Here is a 20,992-nt window from a genome sequence, read left to right as displayed (position 1 = left end):
AAGAGTTTACATGATTCTGTGCTCAGGATCCAAGGCCCTGATGGCATAGGCTCACAGGGGGATCTCCTGATCCACAGAAAAAGCATGGTTTCCCTGGTGAGGTAGCACAATCACTCACCACCTCCCTTGGTTGGGGGTAGGAATTCCCCTTAACCTATGTGGCTCTCAGGTGGGCTGTGGCTCCACCTTGCTTTTTCTCACTCTCTGGGTGTTGTACCAACTGTCTAGTTGGTCCCAATGAGAAAAACCTGAATACCTGTGCTGAAGGTGTAGGATTTACTTGCCATTTTCATTCTTCTCCATGAGAGCCACTGACAGCAGCTGCTTCTAGTCAGCCATCTTGCCCCCTCCTCCCTATTGCTTCAATGTTCTAATTTTCTACAATATCTATATATTGCAACTATAATAATGCAAGACTCAATTAAAAAATTAAACTCAAGCCATTGTGAGGTTGATTATATAATTACACAGAAGTTGTTGAACTACCAATTTACTTGTCTCTCCTAGCCCCGTGAATATAATTAATATAACAAATGTAGTCAAACGTGACTACATGTTTATAAAATATACCTTTGACTTCATGTTCATGAAATACATGCATTTTATAAACTTCTCTGGTGTGCATGTTTTGGTAAAATTTCTGGCAAATGCCAAAACCTAGTAAAGAATATGCCTTCCCTTGTATTCACAGCCATAGTTATGTCTTTCAACTACTCAAAAACTCACACAAAGTCAATTAAAGAAACTGAAATAACTGAACTACTTCTAGGTGGAGCTTCACATCCTATTATTTGTTTTGTTTTACAGAAACATAATACCGCACTCTAACATGATTGGGAAAAGCAAAACTCTCATTAACTGCAGTGTCTTGTTATGACTAACTAGAGTTCATTTAACTCTAAAGCCAGGCTAAAGATGCTTGGTTTTTTAAAGAGTGATACATTAGAATGTGTAATACATCTAACAGGGGATGCAATCTTTCGAAAACTGGATGCCAAAGTCCACCTGTTCTAGCTTTGCAGAGACTGCACTGACATTCAAAGGTTAGGTGAAAGGGGGAATGTGCAAATGTCTGATGCAGTGTCTGATGCTGCCCATATTACTTGCTTTGGCTGCCATAACAAAATGCCACAGACTGTGTGGCTTAAACAACAAAAAATTTTTTGCCCACATTTCTGGAGGCTAGAAGTCTGAGATCAGGGTCTCAAAAGGTCAGGTTCTGGGGAGATGCCCTTTCCTGGGTTGCTAATGACCACCTTTTGCCTGTGTTCTCCCATGAGATGGAGAGAGACAGAGAGCAGGCTCTCTGGTGTTTCTTCTTAGAAGGGCACTACTCCCATCACAAGAGCCCCATCCTTCTGACCTCATCTAAACCTAATTACTTCTGAAAGCCTTATCTCCAAATACCATCACATTGAAGCTTAAGGGCTTCAATATCTGAATTTTAAGGGAATACAATTCAGTTCATAGCACTGCCCTTGAAAGTCACCCCCTCAGGCCAAAGTTTGGGAGGTCACAATAACATGTGCATTCACATATTTACCTTTCTCTACTATGACTGCAATCACCTCCACATTCTATGGTAACAAACCATAATAGAGAATAGAAAACTTCTGACAGGCTAGTGCTGGGAATAAAAGCCTTATATGTCTCCAGGCCTCCTGAGCTTGAATGAGCCGAATTATATTGACATAGATACAGGAGTCTGAAAAACTGGACAAGTCTTCTCTTGAAAGCTATTTAACAACTCCCAGTGGCCCATCCTCCTAGGGTGTCACTGCTATGACAGTGGAGACCTGGGGACCCATGATGGTTAATTCTTTGTGTCAACTTGACTGGGACAAAAGGTGCCCAGATTAAACATTATTTCTGGGTAAGCTCTGTGAGGGTGTTTCTGGATAAAACTAGCATTTGAATCCATGGACTCAGTAAAGTAGTTTGCCCTCCTCAAAGTATGTGGGCATCATCCAATCCGTGGCGAGCCTGAACAGAGCACACACAGAGGAAGGAGGGATTTGCCTCTTCTTTTTCTGCCTCATGGCATAATGTGGGACATCTCACCTCATCTTCTCTGGTCCTTAAACTAAATCACACCGTCAACAACCCTGGCTCTCAGGCCCTCAGATTTGAACTAAATTACACCACTGGCTTTCTTTAGTCTCCAGCTTGCAGACAGAAGATGGTGGTACTTCCCAGCCACTGTAATCATCCGAGCCAATTCTTTACAATAAATCTCTCTCTCTTTCTTTCTCTCTCTCTCTCTACACCCACACACAGACACACACACACACACATACATGTAACATATTTTATTATTTGATTCTCTAATCATGACCAATACAGGATCCCAGTGTCCTAAAATCTGAGGGTGGTGGCCTGGGTTCCTCTGCAGGAACTTGGGTCAAGAGAGAGGAGACAGCCAGAATCTGCAGAGTGTGAATATTATGGGTTTTATCTACCTAAAAAAAATGGTCTATTTAACTTTATGGCCATCTTTAGGCTTGTGCCGCTGCAAGAGGGTCCTGGGAAGGATACCTCAGGACAGGACTTTGTATTCAATTTGTACTGCCTTCCAGGACTCAGATGCAGATGAGGAGACCTGACTCTCCAGTGGCCTCCAGAAGACGAATGTCTCTAGCTCTATCCCTGGACTGTGATATATAACTGGGGAGGCGGTGAGGGGGGCGGGGGGTTGGGAGGGAGAGTTTCTTGTTTTCAAGTTGCTGAGATCTTTATGGGGGAAATAAAAGCATTTTATATGCTGAGATCATTTATTCTTTTAAACACCTTAAAAGTCTGTTCATATTTGTTGGAAATTTTTTTATATATTCATGTGTACTGTACAGTATCTTTAGATGACAGGTTTCACTAATTTTTCTATTTTAAGTTTATATTACACATAATGTGTACCACTGTGAAAATATTCAGATTTTATACTTCATTGACTGAAGAACAAAATCAAAAATCAAAATTCAAACCAAAAAATGTTAAAGAAGGGTCCTAAAGGCAGTGTGGACATGGGAAAGAGGAGTAAATTTAAATACCTCCCATGTGATGGGGTTTTAGAAAATCCATTCTTGTTATTTTTTTTAATCTTCAGAATAACACTGTGAGGTGTGATTGACTCATTATGTGTAAGTGAGGACAATGAGGCTCAGAGATCTAAACATCACATGGTAGATAAGGGGCAGAGCCAATGTTTTACTGTCATCTACTCAAAAGCAAAGCCTTGCCTTCTCCACTACACTGTATCAGCTTGCAGATGTCCTCAAGCCTCCTGTCCCCACAGTGTAAGTCTTCATTTCCCCTTACTGCCTGGACACATTGAGGCATCAGCAAGATGACACCAAAGGACTTAACATTTAAAATAAAATAACCCAAATAACGTAGAGGCTTATCTGTTACTAGGCTCAGATTGAGCTTATGTTACTTTCTGCTGATCGGAAAAAGAAATCATGAAGTACTACTTTGTGTATTTACCGGAAGAATTTTCATAAGCATGCTAAGTAAGAAACAAGTCTCCCAAATATAACTCTTGGTTCCAAGAAGCTATTTACAGCAGAATGTCAAAACTCATATACTACTACCGAAGAACTGCACTAAAAGACACAATTTTGAGAACATTCAGATCCATCTGCAGATGTTTAAAAAGGTAAAGATTTCAGAAACGTGTTGACTTAGATTTGTGCTTCTTTCTGAAGTTATTTTATTGTTACAAAGCATACAAATACATAACTCAGTGCCAAATAAAGGGATTCTGAAAGAAACAGAAAGCGGTTTCAAAACTAAGTGAATGAATATGAGTGAAAGGTAAGTATTATCACAGGTATTTTCTTTTTGCATTGCAAAAACAAAACAAATCCAATGTTTAGGGCAAAAATCAGGGCTCCCCAACAGTAGACCACAATCTTGCAGATGCTCAGGCAATCCCAGAGCCATGTGGCCCTGTTTTCAGCTCATGCTCCTTCTGTCCCTGTAGTTTCATGGGAAGGTGATGTGGGCAGCACTGCTCCACTGAGCATTCTCAGGAATTTCAGTGTTTTTACCCCTTCCCTGCTCAGAGACAGGGCGTGCATGTTGTCAATATCCTTGCTCATCTTTGCAGACTTACAGCCACACCCTAACTACCAGTAACTTCAAGGAGCTACATATGAATAATAAAATATGTGTCACAGAAAATTATTATGCTTGTGGCTGTGAAAGATGTCCTCTGGTTTTGGTAGGAGCAGACACCATCCAGCTAATCAGTGCTGCAGGAAGAATGTGTCCCAATACCTTGAACTTCTCAGAAACCTTGAAAACTTTCTTCTAGAAAGAAGAGTCTAGACTAGGCTGGGAAAAGATTGGGATCAGAGGTAAGGTATTAAAAGGTTAAGCCAGCTCCTCATTAACCCCACTAGTGCAAGTAGGTGATGGAGTGTGCAATTCAGCAAAGCAAGACTCAGAATCTCAGAGAGGAAGGAGATCTGAGGACTTGCCTCACCCTCATGCTTTATTTTCAGATAAACAAAGTCAGCTCAGAAACAAAAACATGACTGTATTTCATCAAATCTAAAAAGTGTCAACTATCAGACACTTGTTATTTTATGTAGTCTTAAGAGTGACACAAAATGCTGTTAATAAAATAGGATATGCCATTGATTGTGAAACACATCTCATTTTTAAAGTGGTAAAAGCAAAAACAAAAGCTTAAAAAAAAATCTGATATGATTTGGCTGTATCCCCACTCAAAACTCATCTTGAATTATAACTCCCATAATCCCCATGTGTCGTGAGAGGGACCAGGTGAGAGGTAATTGAATCACAGGGTCAGGTTTTTCCCGTGCTGTTCTCATGAGAGTGAATAAATCTCACAAGATCTCATGGTTTAATAAAGGGCAGCTCCCCTGTACACACTCTCTTGCTTACCATCATGTAGGACATGCCTTTGCTCCTTCGCCTTCTGCCATGATTGTGAGGCCTCCCTAGCCATGTGGAACTGTGAGTCCATTAAACCTCTTTTTCTTTATAAATACCCAGTCTTGGATATGTCTTTATTTGCCCTGTGAGAACAGACTAATACAGTGTCTTAGAAGGGGTATCTTGATGAAACATAGTAAGCAACTTGCCTCCAAATGCTCACTTCTCAGTCCTTAGGTCTCCTGTTGTTCCCCACTATGCTCATGCAGCTTCATTTCCAATGAGAAACCTAAAATCCAGGAGTGAGGAAACTATCTCAAAGTCACTGAGTGAAGAAGGAGCAGAGCCAGGACTCATACTAGGCCCCTGATTCCTTTGTGCTGGCTCCCACAACTCTATATTGCCTCTCACTCTAAGGTATTTATCTCTTGCTCTGGAAAACAGAGCTAAATTAGTCAGAGAACATTTGCCTCCTGATTAGGTTTAGCTTATGATAACATAAAAATTAAATTGCTGCCCTGAACACATGCAGGCAGGCTGGAAGCAGCCTGGGTAGACATTTACCAGGGTAAGAGAGGGTCTCTGGATTTGAAACATGCTCGGTAAAATCTATAAAGCAGGCAATCCATGTGCCAGGCAATTGAATAGCTATTTATCACAGTTAGATTAGATGTTTTACTCAATCTAGACTTACTGGAATATGGGAGAGAGGCTGAGAATAATTTTATTTTCTCACAGACCTGGCCCTTCCCTCTGCCACACAGCTAGAGCACTGGGATTTCTCCACAACATCTGTGCCACTGCTTAAATGATGGAAGTTTGCCATGTCTGTAACTAAGAGCCTGGCGGCTGACATGTGAGCCGTCCAGCCTCACATGGTCCACAACCCCCTCAAACTTGAAAAGAAGGACAGAGCCACACAAGAGGACAGCTCCTTCTGCAGTGCCTCCTCTGGCCTGACTGGTGAGGTACAAGTTAGGCATGGAAGAGAATTATCTGGAATGTCTTATCTGGCTGGTGCCCCAGGAAACCTGAGATACTGTATACCTCCTGTTCACATACTAACACTTCTAAATTTAGCTTAGGGAGGTGTGGCCTCTAATTCTTCATATGAAGATAAGCTTCCTTTAACTCAGTGTTTCAACCTCTGCATCGTGACTAGATGACATGTGAGTGGAGATACTGACCGCCCCCTGCCCCGCCTTCATCCCTAGGCTGGTCATCTGGCTGTGAACCGCTGTGATTTTTAAATCTGCCAGTGACTTAGACAATAACAAAAGGTTGCATCCAGACTAACTTGGCCCATGTTAAGAACCCTGGGAGCTCAGCCCACAGATCTCAAGATGAGAGTGCAGTGCGCTATCAATTTCTACAATCTCAAAAACAGTGAAAAACAAAACCCCTATTGCTCCTTGGCTACTTTATTCTTATCTGCTGGGTGATAGCTGATAGTAAGGTGTTGAGAGCACCCAGAAGAGAAGGAACAGCCCAGCTGTCCATGGTGGGAGAGGAACAAAGACACCTGCCTTCTCACGAGGTATTTAGTTTCATTGCAACACTACTCAGTCTTTTAACTTTTATTTTCTCTGCCTCCCCTGCCTGATGAAGAAAGGAGACAGCCTCAGAGCTATGCCTCCAGACGCATCATTCCTCTTGCAACACTGACTGTTTTCACAGCAAGATGGGCCCTTTAGCTCTCCTCATGAAATGTGAGGCTGTGTGCCCTCTCTGCCTTCCTCTGACTACAGAGGACCACTGGGTGAGTTTGGAAGGCAAGACACATGTCCTAGCACTGGATACAATGGAGTGGTAACTACATTCAGATTTGCTTGTCTGCAACTTGGGTGATACAACATTCTGAGTGCTGTACTATATTTTCTGGCATTTAAGTCCCTTCTTACATGTTAAAATAGAAATTTGGGTTCATGCTTTCCCTCTAAGTGCCTACAAACCCTCTTTAAACTGCTTAACACAGCCACAAAAGGGCCTTAGACAGCCGCCCCCTCAACACAACGACAAGGGACCCATGAGCTTGGCTCTCTCTGGGTACTTCTGTAAGTGAGAAAGAGTAGGGGATGTCGGCTGCCCTTCCGCACCCTCTCCCTCATTGCCAGGAGAAGCCCTGTATACACACCATCACCTACCTTCACAGTATCCACCTGCAAGGAGAGAGAAGCAGCCAAAACTTGGTTTACCATGTGCTTGTATTTAGTCCATTCTGGTTCTCTGTCAGAAGGTTATTTCCATTTTTGAACATAAACCACCCTGGCAAACCAGCCCATAGCCTACTTTCAAAGCCTGTCTTTCAAAACATTTCTTAAATATGGGAAATCACCACTATTCTCAGAATGACTGGAACCCAAAAATCCTACAGATTTACCTGTATTTCTAGAATTTAATTTTGACATCTTCCAAAACTCAGGCTTGTTTTAATTCTGTTCAAGGAAGTTTCATCATGTATTTTGCTACCTTTGAGTAAAAGGGAACAGAAGTAAATGGCCAAAAGGAAAAGTTCTTTCATTTGTTCTGAATGAATGAATAAAAAATGCAATGAATGAGTGAATGAATAGAACGATCATTGGCAAAAGAAAGCACAATAGACAACTGACCCCAAACTGCCTTATCTCTGCAGTCAACAAGACCACATCCAGGGGCTGAGGCTGGTTTCACAATTAATTAAGTTCCAGAATTATTTTCCCTTCCTCTTTCTTCTTCCATGCACACTGACAAATAACCAGGGTGTGACATGTAAAAATTTTAAATCTCATTTGAAGTTGAAATGGTATAGAATTCAGGAAGTGCTGAAGTCTTATTAGAGACTACAGCATCCTTATAAACAATAATGCTTAAAATCAGAATAATCAACTTTTATATTTCCTGACCTGTACAGATTTAATTATCTAGACCTAATGTTTTAGTAATCTTATTTTCAAATGATATAATTTTTTAATCTTATCTTGAAACAAATGCTCAAGTTTATTTGTAGAAGTTGGGGAAAGTAAAGTTCAATGTCTAATTTCTCTGACAAATTTAGAGCTCTTTCCTCTGCTTTCCAGGAGACAAAATAAGAAACAGAAATAGGATCAAGTTCTATAAATAAACTGTGGTTGGCTTGTCCTTAAATATCATAAACTGTTGAAAAGAAATGAAGTCATAAACATATATTAATTTTATTTTAAAAGCTGGCTAAGAGATGGTGCTAGAATTAAAAAGTTTTGCAAGAAGGAAAATGAAAAGGGGAGGAACCTGCAAACACTTCAGAAATAATGAAACACTTATATTTTCTGGTCAGCTTCTTCTAAGGCAACAGAATTCTGTGTTTGCCACTTTACCACTGTGCTGGTGGGATACTTAAGTAACCTCAAAGCATTGAGGTATTGGCTAACAATCCGTCTATGTGTTGCTTATTAATAATGGTTACATTTTGCCAAATATTTTAACCATGGTTTCACTTTCTCCCTATATTAAAAGATTCCCCAAGGAAAAACCACAAGTTAAATGACAGCAGAACAAGACTTTACAGGTAGGCATGTATTTGGTTGGATTTTGTGACCTTCTTTCATGTCTTTTCAGAATGTATTTATGGAGTTGGAAGAGTCAGAATGCGTTTGCCTATGAAAATTTTTTTTGGAACTGAAACAAAACAAAACAAAAAAGCCCAACCAACTTTGAACTTGTTTTCACTAGCCCAGCCGATGTGCCACTATAAGCCTTCAAGGGCCTTACCCCAGCAAGGCCTCTGCTTTGGTGCTCTCCATGACGCAATCTGTCTCTCTGCAGACACAACTCTAAGGTGTCTCCAGAGCCAAAGTCAGGTGAAGAAATGGGGTTATTGTGTGGATTATTTTAGGTCAGAATACAGGCCAAAAAAACAAAACTGGTTCTGTTTGAAATTGCCTGGCTGCCCTCATTTTGTCACTTGACTTTACATGGAGAGATACTGCTCCAGGAATTACCCAAATGACAAAATAAACAAACAAACAAATAAAACCGTACATTCTGCACCAAGAATAAATAACGCAAAGTGGAGACTGAGCTTATTAATTTTTTCAAAGCCTTCCTTACCTGAATATGTTAATGTGAATTAATGTGCTGGACTGGCCCAGAGGAAAATAAAGTCCTTCTGTAGTTTATCTTCTATACCTAAATTGGCAGATCTATGGAATTCATGTTTGCATTACATGTAAAGTTTTTACAGTTCTTACACCTGGATAAGGATCTTTTGACTGGAAAGGTCAATATATTTCAAGGGCTTTGGCTCTGAGAAAGAACGGCTTGGTGGATTCCAGGTACCAAATCATCTGTAAAATCACATGCCAAATCCCAAAAGCTTACTGTCTCCAGGACCACAAACCAATCAATTTGGGAGGAAATTGGCTCAAATAACATCAACACCCGTAATGCCAATGGCCAAACTCTAGATGGTGAATGTGAAATCTTAAGTGGAATCTGCTCCCAGGCCAAGACAATACAACCAAATCATCTGGATGCAAGTCAAGCTATGAGGTGAATGTGGGTAGTATAGTCACCACTCAAATTCGAACCAGATGGTATCAGTGTGACTGATAATGACAAAGACCCTCTCCTTGACTGAATTTCAGCTGGGTTCCCCTGTGCCCTCTTCTTGACCAGGCCTCAACCTTGGCCCCTGTCCTGTCTGTTGCTTGCCTAGTCCAGTCTCAGCAAGAATTCTGCCAAGTAATTTTATTGAGAATTCCCCCACCCTTGATATCTGATCAAGTTCCTGACCACACACTTTTGATGTATAAGTTCTTGGCTTGCCTTCAAGAATCCTCTTCAGTTGGTTTAGCAACTTCCCCTTACCCTGGATGTCTCCTCCCAGTGATTTGCCATCCATTCACCCCCTCACTCTACTCATTGGTTATAAATCCTTATTTGTCTTTATTGTATTTAGAGTTGAGCCTGATCGCTCTCCCCTCTTAAAATAGTCTTGACACATATTGCAATAGTCCTGAATAAAGTCTTCCTTGCCATTTTAAGACGTATTAAAACATTTTTTTTGACATGATAGCTATGTTTAATAGGAGCCAAAGGTCAAGGCACTTTGGCGACAACCACTGTCCGCTTAGCAAGGAGCTTAAGTTCAGCAAGGAGCCAAAATTGACCATTTTAGTTTTGAGGCTTTACCTTTAAATAAACTATTTATTTTGGAATGAATTTAGATTTATAGAAAAGTTGCTATGTGCTCCCTCACCCACTTATTCCCATTGTTAACATCTTACTCATCAAAACTAAGAAACCAACATTGGTAGATGGCTATTAACTAAAATCTAGACTTTATTTGAATTTCACCAGTTTTTAAAATTAATGCCCTCATTCTGTTCCAGGATTTCATCTAGGTACTCCATTGCATTCAGTTGGCATGTTTTCTGAGTCTACTCTGGTATATAATGATGTCTTAGCCTTTCCTTGTTTTCATCACCTTGACACTTTTGAGAATCACTGGTGAGGTACTGGGGAGAATGTCCCCCAGTCTGGGTTAGTCCGATGCTTTTCCCATGATTAGATGGGCCATGATTTTTTGAAAAGAATACCATAGAAGCGAAGTATTCTTCTTATCACACAGTCATGTTTTTGAGATGACTTTTTGATGTGGCAACTTTTGCTCATTAACCTCACAGCAGGATTCTTCATACCTCAAAAGTGAAACCCACCTCTCAAGGCTTTACTGAAGAACTTTACTAAAGATTTCATACGGGAAGGTGGGGAAAGGAAAAGAGGAGAAAGTTACATCACATATAACAGAGCACAAGTTAATGAAAATCCCCTCTAATATCCGTTTTTGCCCTTTTACAAAGGAATGACAGCACCTGTATCCTCCACTTGCCCAGGAAGTTTCCGGAATCCACCTGCTCTAGCCCATCTGTACCCCAGATCCCCACTTTTTCTTGCTATGCATCTGCATGCCATCATCTAGTTCAGCAAAAGACCTTCTGAAGACTATCTGCGCAGAAGTCACCTGAAGATAGTATTAATAACTAAGAAACAGTTTTTCAGTCTCAAATAACTTTCTTCCTTTATACAAAAAAAGGTTATTAAAAACATTTTTACTCCACAATTTATCAGTGAGAACTGACTTCAGAACAATGCCCCTCATCCATGATGAACTGGAAGGTTGAAGCAAACTGTCTTGTTCCTGGAATCTAGGGGGTGGAATGAGTGAAGAGGAGCTTACTTTGCTCAAGTGTTAAACATTGGACTTTTCTTAACAGTCATATTAACAAAGTATCACAAATTTACTAATTTTATTTTACTTTAGTTGTTTGAGTCTCAGTCTCTTTCTAGCTCTTGGTCTTTAGGCAAGTCTATTCCTAAACTTTCAAGAGAAATAGAAACTAACCTAGATTTCTTATAAGGACAGGTAATTTTTCCATTTACTCACTTAACAAAAAATTATTCATTGTGTTTAGTTGCTAGTCACTACCTATTAATAGAGTTTTTCTTTTATTTACTTATGTTTTAATTCAACAGATATTTACTAAGCTCCTACTAAATGTCTAGGAACAGATTAGACCCTAGGGATAGGGTTTCTACTCTCATAGAACCTATAGTCTAAGGAGGAGATAGATATTAAACACATAATAATAAAAATGAAGTGTATTAAAAGCTGTGAAGAGAATCATAAACAAAAGATCAAGGAAGGATGCAATGTGTGTGTGTGTGTGTGTGTGTGTGCTTTGCCAGGTGTGGAAGGAGTTGATTTACTTTTTAAGAGTAGAGGTCAGCGAAGGCTTATCTGAGGGAGCAATATTTGCAAATGATCTGAAGACTTGAGTAAGCATTAGCTAAACTGGCTAAAAAGAGGAAAAGTACAGACCAATGCTGAAAGCAGGGCCTGCAGGAATGTTCTAGGAACTTAACGTGACAGTGTGTCTGAAGTGGGGGGACTAATGTGACCTCATCAATCATGCAGGCCAGGCTAAAACCAAGTTTAAGATTGTGAATGCTGTTCTCCAGGTAGAGCTCACTGGTAAGCGCTCAGGAGGGCAAGAGCTAAGTATTAATAGCTCCTTCCCATAAAAGAAGAGTATTATTTGAACTGTGAATATAATGCTAATTGACTTGTCCCTCTCTTCCTTAGCTATCCATCCCTGCTCCTACACAACCATGCCCATGTCTTAAGGAGAATGAGGCAGCAAACTTTCAGTGTCCACTCAAACTCCCTGACACCACGCACCATTCCCTAGCGAGGGTCATTTGCAGTTAAAGACTGATATTTCTCTCTGCAGAAGGGAAGAGATACATTTGTGTAGATCAGGTACAACAGTCCCATTAGCACATTTGCCTTAGTTCAAGGATAACTAACTACAATGATTGCTGCAAAGATCTTGTCTTTGTCTACACCTGATTATCCCATTTTTATTTTTATTTTTTGGCACGTAGAAAGATTTGTAAATTTTATAATATGTAAACATATTACAAAATTTGCCATTTTAACCATTTTTAAGAGCTTAATTGGGTGGCATTAATTACATTCACAATGTCGTTCAACCATTGCCACTATCTATTTCCAAAACTTTTCAATCATCCCAAACAGAAACTCTGTACCATTAAGCAATCACTCCTATTTCTTTCCTCTCCCTAGCCCCTGGCAACCACTAATCTACTTTCTGTTTCTTTGACTTGCCTATTCTAGATATTTCATATAAATGAAATCCTATAATATGCGACCTTTTATGTCTGATTTCATTCACTCAGCAAAATGTTTTTAAAGTTCATCCATATTACAGCATGGATCAGAACTATATTCCCTTTCATGATTAAATAATATTTCACTGCATGTATATACCATATTTGGTTATCTATTTATCTGCTGATGTACATGGGTTATTTCTATATTTTGGCTATTGAGAATAATGCCGTTAAGAACATTACCTAAAAGTATCTGTTTGAATCGTATGTTGAATTCTTTTGGGTTTAATATACATTTTTAAGAAATAACACATTTTTAAAAATTGAAGTAAAATCCATGTAAGATAAAATTTACCATTTGTATTAGTCCATTTTCACACTGCTATGAAGAAATATCTGAGACTGGGTAATTTATAAAGGAAAGAGGTTTGATTGACTCACAGATCCGCATTGCTGGGGAAGCCTCAGAAAACTTACAGTCATAGCAGAAGGCAAAGGAGAAACAGGCACCTTCTTCACAGCGTGACAGGATGGAGTGAGTGCTAGCAGAGAAAATGCCAGACGCTTATAAAACCATCAGATCTTGTGAGACTCACTCATTTATATGAGAAGAGTGTGGGGGAAACTGCCCCCATGATCTGATTACCTTCACCTGTCCCAGCCTTGACATGTGGGGATTACAATTTAAGATGTGTTAACTGTTTTTAAGTGTACAGATCTGTGGCATTAAGTATATTTACATTTCTGAGCAACCATCACCACCATCCATTTCCAGAACTCTTCATTTTGCAAAACTGAAACTCTACACCCATTAAAGAATAACTCTTCATTCTTTCTCTTCCCAACCCTTAGCAGCCACCATTCTACTTTCTGTTTCTATGAATTTGACTACTTTAGGTGCCTCAAATAAATGGAATAAAACAGTATTTTTCTTTTGCTAACTGGCCTACCTATTCACCCCTGCTCTCTTGTTTGCATGGCATACTTTTTTCCATGTTTTCACTTTTAACCTATTTGTGTCTTTAGATCTGAAGTGTCTCTGGTAGATAGTATATAGGTGGATCACATTGTTATAAAATCCATTATCTCATTCTGTTTTTTGACTGGGCAGTTTAAACCATTTACATTTAAAATAATTTCAGATAAGAAGAGACTTACTTCTGTCATTTTATTTCTATTCTATATTCCTTATAGCTTTTTTTGTTCCTCATTTCCTACATTGCTGTCTTCCTGTTTAGTTGATTTTTTTTGCAGTTAAATGCATTAATTATTTTCTCCTTTTTCTGTGTATCTGTATGTTCTTTAACTATTTTCTTTGTGGTTCTTATGGTATTACATTTAACATCCTAATGTTATCACATTCTAATTTGAATTTATACATCTTAACTTCAATAACATACAAAAACTCTGCTCCAATACAGCTCCACTCCCACCTCTTTTTAGTTATTGATATTACAGAACTGTATCTTTACACATTGTGGGTCCAAAGGTATAAACAAATTTTTATGCATTAATTTCTTAAATAATGTAGAAAACAAAATGTAGAATTAAAAACCAAAGTTAAAATAAGACTGATTTTAAAACTGATAATAGTTTTAAAAATAAGCATTAGTCTCTTAAATCATATAAAATACATAAAGTGGAGTTACAAACCAAAGTGTAAAAGTTACCAGATTTTATAACTGTTCATGTATTTACCTTTATTGAGATCTTTATTATTTATTCATATGTCTTCAAATTACTGCTTAGTGTTCTTTCATTTCAACCAAAAGGACTTCTTTTAGCATTTCTTTAGGGCAGGTCTAGTGGTAACATACTTTCTCAGATTTTGTTTTTCAGGAAATGTCTTAATTTCTCCTCTTTTGAAAGACAGTTTTGACAGATATAGGATTCTTGGTTGACAGCTTTGTTTGTGTGTTTTCTTTCAGCACTTTGTATATATCAGCCCTCTGCTTTCTGGCCTCTAAAGTTTAGAATGAAAAATATGCTGATAATCTTATTGAGAATCCCTTATATGTGACAAGTTGCTTCTCCCTTGCTGCTTTCAAGATTCTCTCTTTGTCTTTGGCTTTCAACAGTCTGATTATAATGTGCTTTGGTGTGGGTCTCTTTGAGTCCATTTTAGTTACAGTTTGTTGAGCTTCTTGAATGTTTATATTCATGTCTTTCATTAAATTTGGAAAGTTTTCAGTCATTTTTTCTTTGAATAATCTAGCTTCCCTTTTCTCTTTCCTTCTTCTCCTTCCGAGACTTTCATTACGTGTATATTTGTCTGCTTGATGATATCCCACAGATTCTTTACACTCTGCTCACTTTTCTTTGATATTTTTTTCTGTTTTCTCCAGAATTGACAATTTCCATTGTCCTGTCTTCAAGTTCACAGATTCCTTCTTCAGTCTGCTCAAAGCTGTCTTTGAATCTTACTGGCAAACTTTTTATTTCAGTTATTATACTTCACAGCTCCAGAATTGCCTTTTGGTTTTGCTTTAGGCTTTTTCTCTCTTTATTAATCTTTCTGTTTTGTTCATACATTGTTTCCTTGACTTTCTCCACATCACTTTTCAGTTCTTTGAGCATCTTTTTTTTTTTTTTGAGACGGAGTCTTGCTCAGTCACCCAGGCTGGAGTGCAGTGGCGCAATCTTGGCTCACTGCAAGCTCCGCCTCCCGGGTTCACGCCATTCTCCTGCCTCAGCCTGCCAGCTACAGGGGCCTGCCACCACACCCCGCTAATTTTTTTTTTTTTGTATTTTTAGTAGAGAGGGGGTTTTACCATGTTAGCCAGGATGGTCTCAATCTCCTGACCTTGTGATCCACCCGCCTCGGCCTCCCAAAGTGCTGTGTCTTTGAGCACCTTTAAGACAATTGTTTTAAAGTTTTTGTACAGTAGATCTTCCACTGGGTATTTTTTAGGTATGTTTCTATTGGGTTATTTTTCCCTTTGAATGGGCCACACATACTTTCCTATGTTTTTGTGTCTTGTGATTTTTGTTGTTGTTGAATACTGGACTTTTGAATATAATAATATAGTGATTTTGGAAATCAGATTCTTCCCCTTCCCCAGGGTATGCTAATTGTTGCTTTTGTTTTTTAATTGCTGTAGGCTGTGTCAGTGCTGGTGATCAGCCCAACATGTAAACTTAAGGTCTTCTCGGTTAGTTTTTAAGACTGCCTTTCCCTGATCATATGTCGTGACTTTCCAAATGCCCCCATATATGTGGTTGTTTTTAGAAGTCTTAGACTTTAAATGTCTGTCTCCCAAAAGGGGAAGAAGAGAAAAATAAAGTAGGAGGAGGAGAAGAAAAAATTAAATGAAAGTGCACTGGTCCTTTAGATCTTTTGGAACTTGCTTTACCCAAAGGGAGAAGGGCTTGCAACGTGAAGAAAGGGGTGCAACAATGGCTTCCTCCTATATGTGTGCACCTCAAAGATTAGACACAGCAATCAGCAATCAGAATATATATCTCCAGTTTTTGTAGGATTCTTTTCGCTCACCCTGGCTCCTACAAACTGCCTGCAAGTTACATATGAAACGTGCACAACTGTCTGCCATGGGGCTGGAAAATGGGTAGCTGCTGCCATGTTGCAAGCTGAAATTAACCAAAATTTACTATTACCAATCCTTCCCCTGTAAGTTACAATCATTCTAATGGATTCCAGAATTCCAAAATAGACCAGACAGATTCTGCAACTGCAATTGTTGTTTAGATGGGGAAACTGGTACTTCCTATTCTGCCATATTCCCATAGTGCTCTGATCAATCCTTCTTAACTGATGACTCTGCTAAATGGTTTGATCATCCTATTTTCTTAATGATGAAAAATCTGAATTTATGTTTTGTAAGTGCTATAAAAAGATCAATATTCTTGTTGATACAAGTTTAATACTTAGGCAAAGTAACAAAAATTAATAATAGTATAACAACAAAAACAACAAAATACTAGTTATGAAAATAATGGTGCTGAGAATTTTGTACTAAATGAGTTGCTGCTGATACAAAACGTTCCCATGAGCAGGAACTAAAATATCTATCAGTGAGTTATGGATTACTTGGGATTTACTTGATGCAGCATGCATATTATATTATTTAAAACAAGAAGTAGAAATAAGCATGGTGAGGGGAGGAAAGGTGGCTGAGTGGAACATCAGAACCCACGATGTATTTGCAATAGACACTCTCTAAGGTGGAAATAATAATCTAACCAGACTTCAGGATAATAAGAACTTTGCTTAGGATGCCAGAAGAGCTGCTAGGTTCTAGCACCAGGTCTGTCATTAGTTATGTGACCCTGTGCAAATCAATTTCCCTCTGAGAGATATTTGTAAAATAGTGATGGGGGGGAGGATAAGAGCTTTATATCAATTTCTAACATCTTTCACAGATAAAACATTTTATGATTTTATAAATCTAGATCTCTAGTGTCTAATACGATAGCCACTAAGATGCATGGCTATTTAAATTAAATAAAATGAAAATTTCAGTTCCTCAATTGCACTAGCCATATTTCGAATGCTCAGTAGTCTGATATAGCAGTCAGATAATGACTAATAAGTTGGACAACACTGACAGAAAACATTTTCATCATTACAGAGAGTTTTGTGTTGGATAGCCCTATTCTAGATCTTTTTCTTTAAAAAGACTCTTGAGAAGCCTAATGTGAACATTATTTATGTTCTTATGTAGTGCTATTGATTTTATCATAAAATTGACTATTGCTACTAAAAATACTACAAAGAATTGGCATTTATTGAGCATGGCCATGTGCTAGAATTGTCCAAAGGGGTATTTTGACTTAATCCTCATAACTCTCAGAGATAGGAACTGTTATTAGGCCCATTTTACAAATGAGAAAAACAAGATTCAGGGTGACTTAGTAAGTTCTTCAGAGCCACATTCTAGAAATGGCAGTGCTAGGGCTTAATCCCATTAACTATCATTTCTCAGAGTACCAGATATTTCACTTTGGCCCCAAGCTTGGCCTCTGGTCTTACTGTCTTATGGTCGAGCCTCATAAATTCCTCACGGTCTTTCTTGTGGACACTGGACCTTTGTATATGCTTTGTCAGAGTACTCCTCTACCCCCAGCTTTTCATTTTCTTTGCTTGGCAAGTTCCTATTTATCCTTTAGAAAGTAACTCAAATATTACTTCTTCATCAAGTAAAATAGTTACCCGGTCTGCTTTGGGTTTCTGCTATACTCCATTCATACCTCCAGCACACAGCCTACTAGGCTGCCTTATAGTCTCAGTACACATGTATGGCCCCCCACCAGACTGTTAGTACATTAAAGATGAAGGCTGTGCCTTAATTATTTTTGTATATCCCTAGTTCAAGGAACGTGCTGAGTCAAGGTTAGCTGAATAAAAATATCAAAATATCTTCCTAGGATTAAGAGTCATCACCCTTTCAACCACTCTGGCTTATATAGATGCTTTCCATTATTCTTGGAACACGCAGTTTTAGATGCTATTTATTACCTGTAAGCAGAGAGCTCCACCACCTTCAGGCAGGGAGCAAGGTATAAATAAATAAATAATCATTATTTCTGAGATAAGTAGTTATTCCCAAGCCTCTCTATGAGTAGTCTGCCATTTACAGGCAAGAAAATATTGCCATTCCCTACCAATTCTCATGAAGTTCTGTCCACATTCCCTACCATGCACCAGGCATGGGCAGCACTCTGGGCTACCTGCCTGCAATGAGAGGCCATTTGGAATACTGCAGGCCTATTAAGGTGCAGCTTGGCTGTTGTCTAGCTTCAATCCCTCCCTGAAGCTGCTTAAGGAAGGAATATTAAAATTGTTCACAAAGGTCTTGGTGCACAGTTAAGAAGACACCTGGCAACCCCACACACTCTCCCAGGGTACAGAACAGCACCACCCCAATTCCCTGCCTGCAGCTCTCTACTCTAGACAAATGACAGAAGAAGAAAATGTTATTCTGGTTCTCCTTGACTTCTAATGTCATATAGGCACCTCTATATTGAATCATCTGTTTGCTTCTGCATCTTAGAAAAAGCTGAGGTAGGCCCAAATCTTTAAAAAGAACAAAAACCTCTAATCAATCAAGTTAGCAAACAAATAAATCAAACAACAAAATCAGAGCTATTACCAGAACAAAGTGTAGGGAGAGAAATACTATTCATCCAAGACCTCCTGTAATTAGGATTGTTCTGGGTAAATTAATCTCTTGTAATCCAGCAGTCCTAAAAGGTATGCTTACTGATCTTATTTTACAGATGGAGACATTAAAGCCCAGATAAGACGTGCTGAATAATAGAAAGAACATGAATTTATTGGCAGAAAGACCTGAGTTCAAATGTGGGTGTCAGTAACTCTGCGGCTTTGGACAAATTATTAAACCTCATTAAATCTCTGTTTTCTCATCTGGAGATTGAGACCAGTAGTACCAACTTTCCAGGGCTGATATAGAGCCGAAATTAAAATGTCTGTGAAGTGCCTAACACAATGGCTGGCATCTTATTAGATTTAATAAATGTGAGTTCCCTCTTCCCTTGCCCACTATATGGCAGAGATGTAATTCAAAAGCAGGGAGGTGGGCCTCCAAACCCAAGTTCTTGGCACATCTGTAATGAGAACTTGTCTGAGCTGCTCCTCCACCACTGTGGTGATACAATCAGATTGGCTGAACTTGAATGATTCTTTCCTTTATACTGGCAAACCACTCTCTATTATTTTATGTATTTAGCCCAGATGTAAATCTTGTACAAGTCAAAATCAAAATATATAAATCATGCATCTCCCAGTGCATTCTAATGTGCCTGCAGTACAGCCTGATCATAAAAATATCAGTCATAGACCTACTCAGAAAAAAGGTTTAACATTGGCAAAAGATTATAGAGTAAATACTGGGCTTCAGGTTCTAGGGAATTTGCGAAAAGCCAATAAGACATAGGGAACACCAATAGCCTTTCTTGTGCTAAATCTCTCTCACAGTCCCCCTGTTTTGAATCAGGCCATGTCTTCCCCTGGGAAGAAAAGAAATGCAAGTTCACAAAAAATGTTCTTGTGAAAAGTTGTAAGCTGCATTTACAACTGGGGAAGATTTCAGTCTCAGTTGTTTTCTTGCTGGTCATAGATATATTTGTCCTTTGCTTGCTATGGAGAAAGATTCTGAACTTTCAGAAAAAACTTCCAAGTCTAGACTCCAAAGAATATAGTTTATCTTACTATGGCATTTATTTTGCAGACAGTTCCCTCTCCAACACATGAGTCTATACAAATGGTCTCACCTGGCAACATATTTCCCAGCCCATGCACCCCTCCCCTATCCCTGATGCCCTAAGGACACTGCAGAGACAGCTGTGGGTACAATGAAAAAGTGCAAACTTGGAGTAATGAGATCAGCATCGAGTTCTAACTCTGCACTTTTCTCTCTGACTTTGTACATGTCACCTCAATTCTATGAGTTTTGACTTTTGTCATCTCTATAATGGGGACATTAGCTGACTACCAGGTGTTCCACCTGAAAGCTCTGTAAAAGAAAGCACATTGTGTTATATAAATTTTTAAAATTAGAATTTAGAGAGCAGAAACTGAAGAACTGTATGTTCAGCTGGTATTTTCCATTTTTAAATTAAAATTCATACTTGCTACTAGTCTGATTTCTTTTGAATTAGTTTTTTTTGGAGGTCTAAACTTTGGAGACCTTTGCAAACATAAGTAGCTTCCAAAATACTGAGCTTTGTGCATTAAAATGTAAGTTTTATGATACTCTACATAATGGACTGTAATGGAAAAAGCACCAGACCAGGAAGCCAAAACATCTATAACTGACTTCTATGTTTACTGACATACCTGAGCATTCTGCTCCTCCATTTCTTCATCTGTAACTTGAGAGGACAATGTCTGCCTTCAAGGGTGATCTGAGGGTGAGATGAATTCATGCAAGAGTGATCGACGTGTTGGAAGCTACGGCCACAAAAAACTAAAGCCAGTACTAGATATCCTGAGGAGGCTTATGAATTTTGAAAGAAAGGCTACATCACTTAACAGTTAAATTAATCACAGAATGAATGTTAGATATTCTTAACCTTACTAGGGGCACAAAGTTCAGGTCTTGGACAAAATCTTTGGATCATCCAAGAAAAAAATGCAAATAAGTACATATACATAATGTTTGATACAATTTCAGGTGTTTTGTGGGCTTCCTGATGCTCATTTGTGGTTCATTTATGTTTAGATAGGCCTCAGGTTAAGAATCCATTTCAGATCATAAAGAAGAGCAGACACTAATGATCATCTCATTTCATCCTCTTATTTAACAGATGACAACTGGAGGTATGAAGCTTATCAGTGACCTTACCACAACTGCTAAATATAGCTTTAATGAGTTTTTTTTTTTTCATTTTTCAAAATCTGCAGTCTACATTATATAGAGTAAGCTTAGTTATTTGGAATATGTTTATTAGCAGAACATTT

At 38.7% G+C, this 20,992-nt stretch overlaps 1 protein-coding gene and 1 long non-coding RNA gene across 3 annotated transcripts in view; one reads left to right on the top strand and one right to left on the bottom strand.

The window, feature by feature from the left end:
* PARM1 (prostate androgen-regulated mucin-like protein 1) overlaps positions 1–20,992 on the bottom strand; it is a 116,998-nt gene that overhangs the window by 73,965 nt on the left and 22,041 nt on the right. The gene's annotated exons all lie outside the window — the stretch shown is intronic.
* PARM1-AS1 (PARM1 antisense RNA 1) lies at positions 5,787–20,175 on the top strand. Its single transcript, NR_121617.1, has 4 exons — positions 5,787–5,862; positions 6,508–6,658; positions 8,473–9,405; positions 18,790–20,175. It is a non-coding gene; the product is annotated as a PARM1 antisense RNA 1 (long non-coding RNA).

The sequence above is a fragment of the Homo sapiens genome, chromosome 4 (assembly GCF_000001405.40).
Source record: "Homo sapiens chromosome 4, GRCh38.p14 Primary Assembly".
Classification (NCBI taxonomy): domain Eukaryota; kingdom Metazoa; phylum Chordata; class Mammalia; order Primates; family Hominidae; genus Homo; species Homo sapiens.
This window is presented reverse-complemented; position numbering and strand designations above follow the sequence as displayed.